We start from the raw sequence: 12706 nt of genomic DNA on the forward strand, positions 1-12706 counted from the left end.
TCAGTGGGTCCTTGGCGTGCTGGCCTGGTTCTCTTCCTCCACCTCCCCTGGGTCTGCGCCAGCCCCCGGGGCTGGGTCTGCTGTGTGACCCTGGTGGGTTTCCACTGGCATTTTCCCTGTGGCTGAGTGGGGAGGGCGCAGGGACAGCTGCAGCACCTCACTCTGCTATCTCCTGCCCCCAGTTCCCCCGGCCTTCAGGCAGGCTCCCAGAGGTCCCCAGGATGCGGTCCTGGTGAGGGTCGGGGACAAAGCTGTCCTGAGCTGCGAGACAGATGCGCTCCCTGAGCCAACTGTGACCTGGTACAAGGATGGGCAGCCCCTGGTCCTGGCACAGCGGACCCAGGCTCTGCGGGGTGGGCAGAGGCTGGAGATCCAGGAAGCCCAGGTGAGCAACCCTGGGGGCACGGGCAGCCATGAGCGCTGCAGGAAAGTCGCCTCCCAGCCCTGGCGAGCTGCGGGGAGGAAGGTGGGCAGGATGTGAGTTGCTGCCTCCTTGGCCTGTCAGACCCCAAACCGAGTGGATTAGCAGCTTCCAGGGTGGAAGACATGGGCAGAGCTCAGGGCTCTGGAGTCACGTTCCAGACCCAGCCCTGCAGTCATGGCATGAGCCCTTCCTGCCTCGGTTTCCTCAGCATCTAGATGCTTTTATCTGGTCCGCTCCGGCTGACCATCTGAGACTCCTGGGAGTCTGCCCTGCCCTCCCTCCCTCCTTCCGTGGAGTGGATTAGATGCTCACAGTGTTTGTTGGATGAATGTTTGCTGTCCCCCTCGAAATCCATTCCTGGCCAGGCTCCATCCCCACAGCAAGGGGGACCTCTTCCTGCCAGCTTGGCCCAGGGAGGGAGGTCCCCAGAGCCTGTGTATTCACTGTTGAGGGGCCCTTCTGCTTCTTGAGGCTCTTGGAAAAGGCCAGAGCGTCCTGATTCCCTTTGGCTCCCCAGTCAGGACCAGCATATTTGGGAGGCCCCTGCTCTGGAAGTTTTGGGGGCCTAGATGCTTTTGGGGAGCCCTAGCACCCCACTTCCAGCTCCAGCACACAGCCACTGTGTGCTCTTCCTCTTTCAGGTATCGGATAAAGGTTTATACAGCTGTAAAGTCAGCAACGTGGCTGGGGAGGCCGTGCGGACCTTCACCCTCACCGTCCAGGGTAAGCCAGGGACCAGCCTAGCCAACGTGACTGTGGAGCCCCTAGCAACACCCAGGGCTGCCAAGGAGGACAAAGACAATAGCTGGGCAGAGGCAGTGCTGCCAAGTGCTGAAGGCACAATGACTAGAATTTGTGTACCTATCTATATCTACATCTCTTTCTTTTTGTAGAGATGGGGCCTCATTATGTTGCCCAGGCTGGTTTCGAACCCCTGGGCTCAAGCAAACCTCCTGCCTCAGCCTCCCAAAGTGCTGACATTACAGGCGTGAGCCACTGCACCCAGCTAATTTCTAGAATTTAAAAAACTAAGGTTAGCAGGCTCCAAATAGAACTCTGCCAGTGACCTGCTTCATGGAGCTTAGTAGAGTGACTTTGTCCCTCAGAGCCTAAGGTTTACCTTCAGTGAATGAGTCTAAAAGCAGTAGCTGCCTGCCAGGCACAGTGGACCTGCCATGGATCCCATGGACCGCCATGACAGTGTCTATAAAGTGCTGGGCACAGGGCCTGGCATGTGGGCACTAAGATGAAGGAGCCCTATGAGATCAGACACACAGGAGGCCACGTTACCTGCATCTTGATCCCCAGGGGGGCCTGTCCCATCCACCCAAGGATGGAGCACAGATGCTGTTTGATTGGACATGTGGCTCCAGCTGGGGTGAGGAGGAGCCTATTTACACTGTCCAGGAAACTTGGCCAGATTTTCTGGTGCTCAGATGTCATGTTAGTTAGAATAGAGACTTAGCCGTGCCACAAAAAGACCCCAAAATATAGTTGAGTAAATGAGAGAGTTTAACTCTTATTCAAAAGCCCAGAGGTGGGTGTCTAGGCTGGTGGGTAGCTCGGCTCCATGCGGTAGTTAAGGGACCCGGGTTCCTTCCCTCCTGTTGATCTTCCATTTCTTAGGGTGTTGTTCTTGTGCATATGGTTGAAACTGGGACACGGCATCGTGTCCTGGCCCACAGGAAGCAGAAAAGAGCAGAAGTGGTGGGCAAGCATTTATTTCATACAGAAGTTGCACCTGTCCCTTCTGCGTGTATTCCATTAGTGAGCGCTCAGGCAGCTGGCTGCAGGGGACACTGGGAAATGTAGTTTCTGCTAGAGTGATCGTGGGCTCAGCTAAAACTCTGCTATGCACAGTGGGAAGAACGGGCTGAGGGGACACCAGCCATCTGCCACAGATGCCAAAGCCAGTAGCCTCCCAACCAGGTGAGCGGTGGGCACATGCAACCCTGAGCCATACACAACACAATCGTTGAAAAGGACTGACAAGATGGAGTGCAGGGGCTCATGCCTGTAATCCCAGCACTTTGAAAGGCTGAGGCAGGGATGATCACTTGAGCCCAGGAGTTTGAGATCAGACTGGGCGACATAGTGAGAAGCTTGAATCTACAAAAAATAAAAAATAAAGTAACAAGAAAGGGACTGACACCAGGCTTGCTGCTCAAAGCTCCCAGCCCTTTCTGATGGCTACATTGATGAACAGTGGAAAGGGGGAATATCTGGTCCCTGAGGGCAAAGGCATTTCATCTTGAGCCTGGTTGACTCTGTTCCGCTGGTGGTGTCTGCCTGGGGTGTGTGACTTCATCCTGGCGGAGCAGGAGAGAGTGTTGGGATCGATTAGTGATGTCTGCCCTGGCACAGGTTAAGGACTGTGGGTGAGTGAGCCTCCCATTTACCATCCTTGGGCTAAGGAGACCCCGCTGGAGCTTTGCTTTGTATGCTTTAAAATAGCCAGGCACTGGTTCTATTTACATTTGTGAATAAAACATAGAATGGGAACTCCTAACTACCAGGAAGGGCTTCTTAGGCCTCCCTGATCTGCCTGAGGGGAAGGAAATTGGGGAAGAGTCTCAGAATTCTGACAGTCTGGCTTTCTTCCTGCAGTGCCCCCAACATTTGAGAACCCCAAGACAGAGACAGTGAGCCAGGTGGCTGGGAGCCCCCTGGTCCTGACCTGTGATGTGTCCGGGGTCCCTGCACCCACGGTCACTTGGCTGAAGGACAGGATGCCTGTGGGTGAGCACATCTGTCCTTGTCTGTTTCGCGTAAAGCATTCCTTTCTTTAATAAGATGACAGCAGAAGCGGACGAAGGAAGTTATTGGTTGTTGATGATCTTGGCAAAACCAGAGACTGGCAGTGCCGTGTTGCCCCCCCCCCCACCATTTGTGTTTGAGTGAAGCGTTGTTTATTGGCCCTTGGAATCCAAACATAAAGAGCGTCTCCTGTGAGGGTTTGGAAGCTCCTTTGCATCCACGTCCTCAGTCAGCTCCCATGAGACAGCAGACGTGGGCTCTCCATTGCGCAGGGCAGGTGCTGAGGGCCATGGAAAGCCCACTGGCTGACACTGGGCTCAGCATTGGCCCCCAGAGCTGCTCCTTGGTGGTGACTCAGCTCGGTCCTAGCTGGGCCGTTGGTCAACCCCATCCCCCATCCAGGCCTCCCCATTCTGGCCGCTGCTGTGCCCACCGTTCCTCCGCATGACGGCAGAAGCCCCACATGGTCTCCTGGGCCCACTGTGCCTCTCACGCAGGCTCCACGTGGGGCAGAAAGGTCTGAAGGTACAGCTCGGAGCTGGTCCCTTGTCTGGTGGAAATCCGTCCACAGCAGGGGCCGGCACTGCCAGCCACCTCTCCCTGCCCCTCCATGCGCTAAACGTGGCTGTGCTGGCTCCTCGAACCTGCCCCTCTCTCTCAGTAACAGCTTTATTGGGATATAATTCACACACTATATAATTCACCCACTGAAAACATCCAATTCAGTGATTTGTAGTACAGTCACAGAGTTGTGTGACCATCACCACAATCAAATTTAGAACATTTTTATCACCAAAAGGACACCCGTATCCATTAGCAATCACTCCCCGTTTTCTCCCCATTTCTTCTTCCCCCAGACCCAGGAAACCACAAATCTGCTTTCTGTCTCTGTGGATTGGCCTGTTCTGGGCATTTCACATTAATGGCATCATAGAGTGTGTGGCCTTTTGTGTCTGGCTTCTTCCACTTAGCGTGTTTTCAAGTTTCATCCGTGTTGTAGCATGGATCAGTACTTCATTCTTTTTTTTTTTTTTGAGACGGGGTCTCGCTCTGTTACCCAGGCTGGGGTGCAGTGCCACAATCTCGGCTCACTGCAACCTCTGCCTCCTGGGTTGAAGCGATTCTCCTGCCTCAGCCTCCCGAGTAGCTGGGATTACAGGCTCGCACCACCACGCCCAGCTAATGTTTGTATTTTTAGTAGAGATGGGGTTCCACCATGTTGGTCAGGCTGGTCTTGAACTCCTGACCTCAGGTGATCCACCTGCCTCGGCCTCCCACAGTGCTGGGATTATAGGCATGAGCCACCGTGCCCAGCCAGTGCTTCCTTATTTTTAAAAATTAAATTTTTCTCTTCATTCCCTTCTGTGGCTGAATATTCCATTGTGTGGCTGTGTCGCGTGTTGTGCATCCACTGGTCAGTTGATGGGCATTTGGGGTGGCTGCATCTTTTGGCTGAGATGCTCAGTGCTGCTGTGAACCTCCGTGTTCGTGTTTCTGTGTGGACCTGTGTCATCGCCTCTCGCGGGTCAGGTGGCTGCAGGCCCCACCTCCCTTTGCGTCCAGCTCTTGGCACATGTGTTCCCTGCCTGGAATACCCACCCAGGCTCCCGTGGTCACCTCTGCTCCCCCCGGCTGACTACTGCTCAACATTCACGTCTCAGCGGAGATTCACCACCTCTGGAAGCCCTCCCCCACCCTTCCTGTCCCCCAAGTTCCCCGGCTCCATCAGGGGCTCACAGGGCTTGTCAGCACTGGGTCCCCTTGTTTCATGGCCCCCACCCCCGATACATTGTGAACTCCTTGAGGACAGGGACTGAGCTGCCCTCATCTTGATTCCCAGGCTCTGCGCTGGACATGGGGCAGTTGCTCGTGTCTTTGTGTTGAGAGGCTGGCTGGATCCATGAGGATCTGGGCAAGGAGATCGTCCTGGGCTGGGGCCGTGAGAGATGGCTTTGGGCAGGGGTGTGGCTGGAGAGAATGAAGGGGGAGGCCTGAAGGCCGGGAGTGGGAGGAGCCCGAGCAGAGGCCCAGGGGGAAGCCCCAGTGTGACCTGTGTAGGGTCAGTGAGGGGCTGGTTTGACTTGAGCAGAAACCTTGATAGACAGGGGTAGAGGGGCAGGGCATGGAGGGAGAAAGCAAAAGCAGAAACCTTGATTGATGGGGGTAGAGGGGCAGGGCGGGGAGGGAGAGGATGGGAGCTGAGAGCTGGGCCTGAGAGCAAATCCTGGACACTGAAGGGAGGGGGTCCCTTGGGAAGAGCTGTCTCAAGTGGAAGGAAATGAGGAAGGCTTCTAAGGAACAGAGACTGGGCTGGGGAAGGTGGGGACATATAAGAAGGCGCCTCTGCCTCTGTGGGGCTCAGTTTCCTATGAGCACAAGAAGGGGCTGGGGGATTCAGGGGACCCCTCTGTCCCACAGAGAGCAGCGCGGTGCACGGTGTGGTCTCCCGGGGGGGCCGCCTCCAGCTGAGCCGCCTGCAACCGGCCCAGGCGGGCACCTACACGTGCGTGGCTGAGAACACCCAGGCTGAGGCCCGCAAGGACTTCGTGGTAGCAGTGCTGGGTAGGTCTGCGCCTGCACCCTCCTGTCCCACTCCCATGGCAGCCCCTGCCATCACCCAGGGCCTCACTGCACCCCTGCCTCAGTGGCCCCCCGGATCCGGAGCTCGGGCGTGGCGCGGGAGCACCATGTCTTGGAAGGGCAGGAGGTGCGGCTGGACTGTGAGGCCGATGGGCAGCCGCCGCCGGACGTGGCCTGGCTGAAGGACGGCAGCCCGCTGGGCCAGGACATGGGCCCCCACCTCCGGTAAGACTTGGCCCATGCCCTCCCCAGAGGCGGTAGGGCCCATGTTCCCTTACGCCTCTGCCCTGGGCCCTCCTTCCCTGTGGCAGGTTCTACCTGGACGGCGGCTCCCTGGTGCTAAAAGGCCTGAGGGCCTCGGACGCGGGTGCCTACACCTGCGTGGCCCACAACCCAGCCGGGGAGGACGCCAGGCTGCACACGGTGAATGTGCTGGGTGAGGAGCCCCAGGGCATCTGGAGGGTGATGCGTGGGCCTGGGCACGGGAGATAAGGCGACATGTGAGCAAAGCCCACACTGTGTCCTGGGCCACGGGTCTCACTTCCCTGGGCCTCCATGGCCCATCCTCAAACTAGAGGACAATAGTGCCAGCCCAGGGTATAGCGGAGATTCGGGAGGTGAGAAGAGAGTCAGGGAGTGGCTGTGTCCCCCATGCAGCGGGCCTCATCCTTCACAAGGGACCACTGTGGTTGCTGGCGGCAGAAGTCCAGGTCTCCACTTCTGGGATTTCCCTGGGAGGAGCCCACCTTCCTCCCAAGACCTCCGCACTACCCCTCTTTTTTCTACCCACCCTCAGTTCCTCCCACCATCAAGCAGGGAGCAGACGGCTCGGGGACCCTGGTGAGCAGGCCTGGGGAGCTGGTGACCATGGTGTGCCCTGTGCGGGGCTCCCCGCCCATCCACGTGAGCTGGCTCAAGGACGGCCTGCCCCTCCCGCTCTCCCAGCGCACCCTCCTCCACGGCTCTGGCCACACCCTCAGGTAGGGGAGACGGTGGACAGGCCTTGGCTATTCCACTCAGAGTGGACATGTGGGGATTGTCAGCAAATGGGAGGTGCTGGAAGCCAGGACTGGCTGCAACACCCACTCCCCACCCCACAGCGAGTGTGGACTGCGCCCCAGATGCTAATGCTAGGATGGGTCTCAGGGACCCAGGGAAGGGGAGGTGGTGGGGGTAGGAGGAGATGCAGGAGAAGTCAGGTTTCAGGGAAGGAGAGACCAACTGGGCCACAGGAGACGAGGCCTGAGGACGGACTGTTGGCTTTGGTGCTGTGCCTGTCACTGGGGACTGGGCAAGAGCAGCTCAGGAGGAGTGGTTGGGGCGAAAGGGGCTGAGAGAAAGTGGGAGGACAGAGAGTGAAGCCAGTGAGCTGAGATGACTCCAGTGAGCTCTGAGGGCAAAGAGGGCTGCGTAGAGGAAGGGGAGCCAAGCTGTCCATATGGGACGTGGAGCTTCCCGAATTTGGGAGGCAGGAGGTCTGGCTTCAGAATGAGATTGGTTGGAGCAGGCAGCAGGGGTGGAGGCAGCTGGAGGCTTTATCCTGGGGGCACCGGGAACCCAGGTAAAGAGTTTAAGCAGGCCGGGTGCGGTGGCTCACGCCTGTAATCCAGCACTTTGGGAGGCCAAGGCGGGCAGATTACAAGGTCAGGAGATCAAGACCATCCTGGCTAACACGGTGAAACCCCGTCTCTACTAAAAATACAAAAAATTAGCCGGGCCTGGTGGCGGGCGCCTGTAGTCCCAGCTACTCGGGAGGCTGAGGCAGGAGAATGGCGTGAACCCGGGAGGCGGAGCTTGCAGTGAGCCGAGATCGTGCCACTGCACTCCAGCCTGGGTGACAGAGTGAGACACCATCTCACCATCTCAAAAAAAAAAAAGAAAAAGAGAGAGTTTAAGCAAAGGCTGGGCTCAGTCACCCCGCCCCCTCTGGCCAGCAAGCTCTTGGGAGACAAAGGTTGGAAAAGGGAGGAAGTCTTTCCACGCAGCCAGCCTCTCCTGTCTCTCTCCCTTTCTCTTCCTCTCTCTCTCTCCCTTTCTCTTGTCTCCTTCTCCCTCTCCTCTCGGGGGATTCAGGATTTCCAAGGTGCAATTGGCAGACGCTGGCATCTTCACCTGTGTGGCCGCAAGCCCAGCTGGCGTGGCGGACAGGAACTTCACCTTGCAGGTGCAGGGTATGGAGCAGGGGGTGGGGCAAGGGGGTCTCTGGCCTTGGTGGGTGAGAATCAAGGCCCTTGGCCCCCCTGCCCTTCTGGGTGGAACCAAGGATGGGCCCTGGGGGCGTCGAGGAGAGCGGACACTGCGGCTCAGTCTCTGACTCACTGTATTGCTCGTTTGTACCTCACAAGTGGCTGTGGGCACTCTGGTATGCCCAGGATAGGCGGGGGCAGAGAGGCAGGAAGCAGCTCAGTAAAGAGACAATCACAATTCCAGGGAACTAGTGACACCAGGGGATGGAGAGGATGCTGTGGGAGCACAGAGGAGGGCACCTCACCTGGCCTTGGGGGACCAGGGCGGCTTCCTGGAAGAGGTGATGTCTAAGCTGAGTACTGGAGATGAGAGTCCTGGAATAAAATGGTTCCTGCCCACCTTTCTGCCCTCCATAGTGCCCCCTGTCCTGGAGCCGGTGGAGTTCCAGAATGACGTGGTGGTGGTTCGTGGCTCCCTGGTGGAACTCCCGTGCGAGGCCCGGGGCGTTCCCCTGCCTCTCGTGTCGTGGATGAAGGATGGGGAACCCTTGTTGTCCCAGAGCCTCGAGCAGGGGCCCAGCCTGCAGCTGGAGGCAGTGGGAGCTGGTGACTCGGGGACCTACTCCTGTGTGGCCGTGAGCGAGGCGGGGGAAGCCAGGAGGCATTTCCAGCTGACCGTCATGGGTGGGTCCTCTGGCCTCTGGCCAGCTTCTCTGGGCTCGGGGGAGAGGGTGGGACTCTAGGGGCAATGGGAAGGACAGTGAGGGAGGTGAGTCCCCTGGAGACCTGGGACTGCCACCTGGGAGCAGAACTCAGGGAACTTGGTTCTGGCTGGGATGCCTCTCTCACCTTCCTTGCCTGCGGGGAGTGGGTGGCCGGGCTTTGATTCTCCCAGGGCTGTGCTCCTGGTTTCTTTCCACCAAACCTTGGTGGCAGATGCAAGAACAAGGGCCACCAAAATGTGGGAGCAGAGCCCCTGGACTCAGCACAGTGTTTTCAAGTGCGGTGCTGTCCCGGAAATGTGTGTCAATTGTGTGTTCCCCTCCATGGTGGCTTGCAGAGCCCCCTCACATTGAGGACTCAGGCCAGCCTACAGAGCTGTCGCTGACCCCCGGCGCCCCCATGGAGCTCCTCTGTGATGCCCAGGGCACCCCCCAGCCCAACATCACCTGGCATAAGGACGGGCAGGCCCTGACCAGGCTGGAGAACAACAGCAGAGCCACACGGGTGCTCCGGGTGGAGAATGTGCAGGTACCAGTGCCGCCGCCATGGGGCGAGGCTGGGGGTTGGGGGAGAGGGGAGGGACTGCAGGTTCCCCAGACCCAGTGGGCAGTTGACAAAGTTGGGCTGAAGCACCTCCTCTGTGTGGGGTGTGAGGGTGTGGAGGTGACCCACCTTGGCCGTGCCCTTGGGAGCTGCCAGCAGGGTCAGGGCCCAGGCTGATGCCAAAACCAGGTGACCCCATCTAGGCCAGAGGAGGGCTGGTGCAGTTAAGGGGGACTTCTGGGAAGAGGCAGGCATCACACCAGCCCTAAAGCAACAGTGAGATGGAGGGAGAGGGCGTGGGTTGGCTGGGAGGTGGATGGCAGACCTCGCAGGGCTGAGTTTGAATCCTGGGTCCCTCGATGCATGAGAAAGAAACCAGATTGGGAGGCGGGCAGAGAGGGGCCAGGGGCAGCTGCTCAACCCGCTCCATCCCCAGGTTAGGGATGCTGGGCTGTACACTTGTCTGGCTGAAAGCCCTGCAGGTGCAATTGAGAAGAGCTTCCGGGTCAGGGTTCAAGGTAGGTGGTGGGGGTGGGGTGGGGGCAGGGCCGGGAGGCAGGACGGGCTCGCGGCAGGGGTGAGTCCCCCTCTCATATCCTCTTGTGCCACCCCCTTCCCAGCCCCTCCAAACATTGTTGGGCCCCGAGGCCCCCGCTTTGTGGTCGGCCTGGCCCCAGGGCAGCTGGTCCTGGAGTGTTCGGTGGAGGCAGAGCCAGCGCCCAAGATCACGTGGCACCGAGACGGCATTGTGCTGCAGGTGGGCGCCAGGCAGGGCCCCAGGGTGCTGCCTTCTGTCCCGCTCAGGCCTCAGACCTGACCTGGCCGGATCCAAGATCCAGAGCGGGTGCCAAGGGCCCGCTCTGAGCTGCACTTTGCACCCTGTTCCCCGGGTGTCATACCCCCCGCCATTGTCATTGTCACTCCCATTTTATGGATGGGGACACTGAGGCAAGGCTCAGGTCACTCAGGGCTTCCGAGGCCCACCCAGTATTCTCCCCCTGGCTCCTTCAAGCTATGCTTAGCAGCTGTGTGGCCTGGACCGGTGACCAAGGCTCTCCGTGCCCACCCCTCAAATGGGGTCAGTTTGCGGCTGTGGATTCAGGGTTGTGGATGTTCTGACAGGAACTCCAGAGAAAGGGGATGCATTTCCTCCCAGAGGAGTGCATTTCCTTAGAGGGTCCTCGGCGGGGCACAGTCAGGGCCTGCGGTCAGCCTGGAAGTACAGAGCCACTGTCCAGCTTCACCAGTTCCTCAGTCTTCCACATCTGCTGCCGGGTGGCCTGACGCAGCTGGGCACTGATAAGGGTCTGTCCACCCTGGCGGGGCTCTCCAGGAGGACGCCCACACACAATTCCCGGAGCGGGGCAGGTTCCTCCAGCTGCAGGCCCTGAGCACGGCTGACAGCGGCGACTACAGCTGCACAGCCCGCAACGCCGCAGGCAGCACTAGTGTCGCCTTCCGCGTGGAGATCCACAGTGAGTAGGGCCCGCCCCACCCCACCCTGCCCACCTTACCCCACCCTGCCCACCCCCTTAGAGCCACAGCTCCCAGCACCACTCCCTCTGTGCCCCTCCCCAGCGGTGCCCACCATCCGGTCAGGACCACCTGCAGTGAACGTCTCAGTGAACCAGACAGCCCTGCTGCCTTGCCAGGCCGACGGCGTGCCCGCACCCCTCGTGAGCTGGCGGAAGGACAGGGTCCCCCTGGATCCCAGGAGCCCCAGGTGGGAGAGGGAAGGGGTGGGCCTCAGGGAGGCTCTCAGGTGCCACTTTGTGGGTTGCAAATCAAACTCACTTGGGCAATTGGAGCAGAAAAGTGACTTTATCATCAGGACGTGGGGTGTCTCAGAACACAAGGACAGGCCCACCACTCATGAAGGTCTCTTGCTTGTTTAACTTGATCAGAAGCCTTGATAGATGGGGCGGGGTAGAGGGGCATGAATGGATCTCATGAGATCTGATGGTTTTAAAGCTTCTCTCAGCTTCTCTCTGTGTAGGCTTCATCTCTTTCTCTCTCTTACCTTCTTCCTTGGTGAACATGGGAGAAACACACCCCCTGACAACCCCGTGGCCCCCAGCCCCAGGTTTACAGCTCCTCAGCTCACTAGCAAGTTGTCTGTGAATCCCAACTCTAAATTCCCAGGGCACAGAATGCCATTGGCCCAGCCTGAGTGATGTGTCCATCCCCCATCCAATCAACTGTGGCCAGGGGCGGGATTGCACAGTACAGACATGGCCCTTGGAAAGGGCATTTTTCAGATCTAGGGGCTGCTCTCAGGAAGAGCAGGGTGCTGCGCCTTCTGCGTCTCAGGAGAGGTCAAGCCCAGGAGGGTGCTGGAGATGCCCAAAGCAGCCCTTCTCTCCATCTTTCCAATGTTGGCTTGGGCTGTGGGGAGCTGCTCATGGCTCTGACCCCCTGACCTTGGCCTCACAGATGCAAGACTCTGACCTCCAAAGTTAGCATCTGTATTAGGCCATTTTCACGTTGCTGATAAAGACATACCTGAGACTGGGCAATTTACAAAAGAAAGAGGTTTATTGGACTTGCAGTTCCACATGGCTGGGGAGGCCTCACAATCATGGTGGAAGGAAAGGAGGAACAAGTTACATCTTACGTGGATGGCAGCAGGCAAAGAGAGAGCTTATGCAGAGAAACTTACGTTTTTAAAACCATCAGATCTCGTGAGACCCATTCACTATCACGAGATCAGCACGGGAAAGACCCGCCCCCCAATTCAATCATCTCCTACCAGGTCCCTCCCACAACATGTGGGAATTATGGGAGCTACAAGATGAGATTTGGGTGGAGACAGAGCCAAACCATATCAGCATCCTCTCACTGGGAAAGTGGGGGCAGAGGGAAGGGTCTTGCTAGAGACAGCCTTGCTCCAGACCCCACTGGCTTGCTCATCTCCAGGGCAACCCCCATCCATTCTAGGTTTGAAATTCTGCCTGAGGGTTCCCTGAGAATCCAGCCAGTCCTTGCCCAGGACGCCGGCCACTACCTCTGCCTGGCATCCAACTCTGCTGGCTCCGATCGTCAAGGCCGTGACCTACGGGTCTTGGGTAGGTGGCCTGGGGAAGGCCTTCAGTGTCCAGTCCCTGTCGGGGTCCAGTCCTTCTTAGTTTCTGAGTCACCCCAGCTGTAGGGGCCAAGAGCCAATGGTCTTCAAATGTTTTTGACCATGAAGCCCATTAGTAAAAAGTTGTGATCATGCACACTCAAAGGACACAGATGTATTTTAGTGCATATATTACGTAACAGAACAGCGATTCGATTAAGTAAGAAACCATGTACAAAAGGTAAAACAAGTCTGAGAGGCCGAGGCAGGAGGATCACTTGATCCCAGGAGTTTGAGACCAACCTGGGCAACATAGTGAGACCCCATCTCTACAAAAAAAAAAATGTTTAAATTAGCCAAGCATGGTGGCACGTGCCTGTAGTCCCAGCTACTTGGGAGGCTGAGGTGGGAGGATCACTTGAGCCCGGGAGT

General features: G+C 58.1%; 1 protein-coding gene across 8 annotated transcripts in view, besides 2 other annotated features; it reads left to right on the plus strand.

The window, feature by feature from the left end:
* Positions 1-12706, plus strand: part of HMCN2 (hemicentin 2) — a 168364-nt gene that overhangs the window by 119618 nt on the left and 36040 nt on the right. For 7 of the 8 annotated variants that reach the window (NM_001291815.2, XM_011518466.3, XM_011518465.3 and 4 more), the window contains 15 exons: positions 183-385; positions 1066-1147; positions 3032-3163; positions 5600-5743; positions 5827-5986; positions 6073-6197; positions 6558-6741; positions 7835-7932; positions 8365-8631; positions 9008-9198; positions 9650-9731; positions 9834-9970; positions 10547-10688; positions 10792-10936; positions 12151-12278. In NM_001291815.2, coding sequence (NP_001278744.1) covers positions 183-385; positions 1066-1147; positions 3032-3163; positions 5600-5743; positions 5827-5986; positions 6073-6197; positions 6558-6741; positions 7835-7932; positions 8365-8631; positions 9008-9198; positions 9650-9731; positions 9834-9970; positions 10547-10688; positions 10792-10936; positions 12151-12278 — 2220 coding nt within the window. Of the gene's footprint in view, positions 1-182; positions 386-1065; positions 1148-3031; positions 3164-5599; positions 5744-5826; positions 5987-6072; positions 6198-6557; positions 6742-7834; positions 7933-8364; positions 8632-9007; positions 9199-9649; positions 9732-9833; positions 9971-10546; positions 10689-10791; positions 10937-12150; positions 12279-12706 lie in introns of those variants that run through there. The other variant, XM_011518469.3, reaches the window with a different exon arrangement.
* Positions 3034-3567: an enhancer, noted in NCBI's record as "H3K4me1 hESC enhancer chr9:133263798-133264331 (GRCh37/hg19 assembly coordinates)". NCBI's record gives its function as "activates a minimal SCP1, AML or CMV promoter by ChIP-STARR-seq in primed H9 embryonic stem cells {active_cell/tissue: H9 hESC(primed)}" and the evidence as "EXISTENCE:reporter gene assay evidence [ECO:0000049][PMID:30033119]".
* Positions 4423-4930: an enhancer, noted in NCBI's record as "H3K4me1 hESC enhancer chr9:133265187-133265694 (GRCh37/hg19 assembly coordinates)". NCBI's record gives its function as "activates a minimal SCP1, AML or CMV promoter by ChIP-STARR-seq in naive H9 embryonic stem cells {active_cell/tissue: H9 hESC(naive)}" and the evidence as "EXISTENCE:reporter gene assay evidence [ECO:0000049][PMID:30033119]".

This window comes from Homo sapiens, chromosome 9 (assembly GCF_000001405.40).
Source record: "Homo sapiens chromosome 9, GRCh38.p14 Primary Assembly".
NCBI lineage: Eukaryota > Metazoa > Chordata > Mammalia > Primates > Hominidae > Homo > Homo sapiens.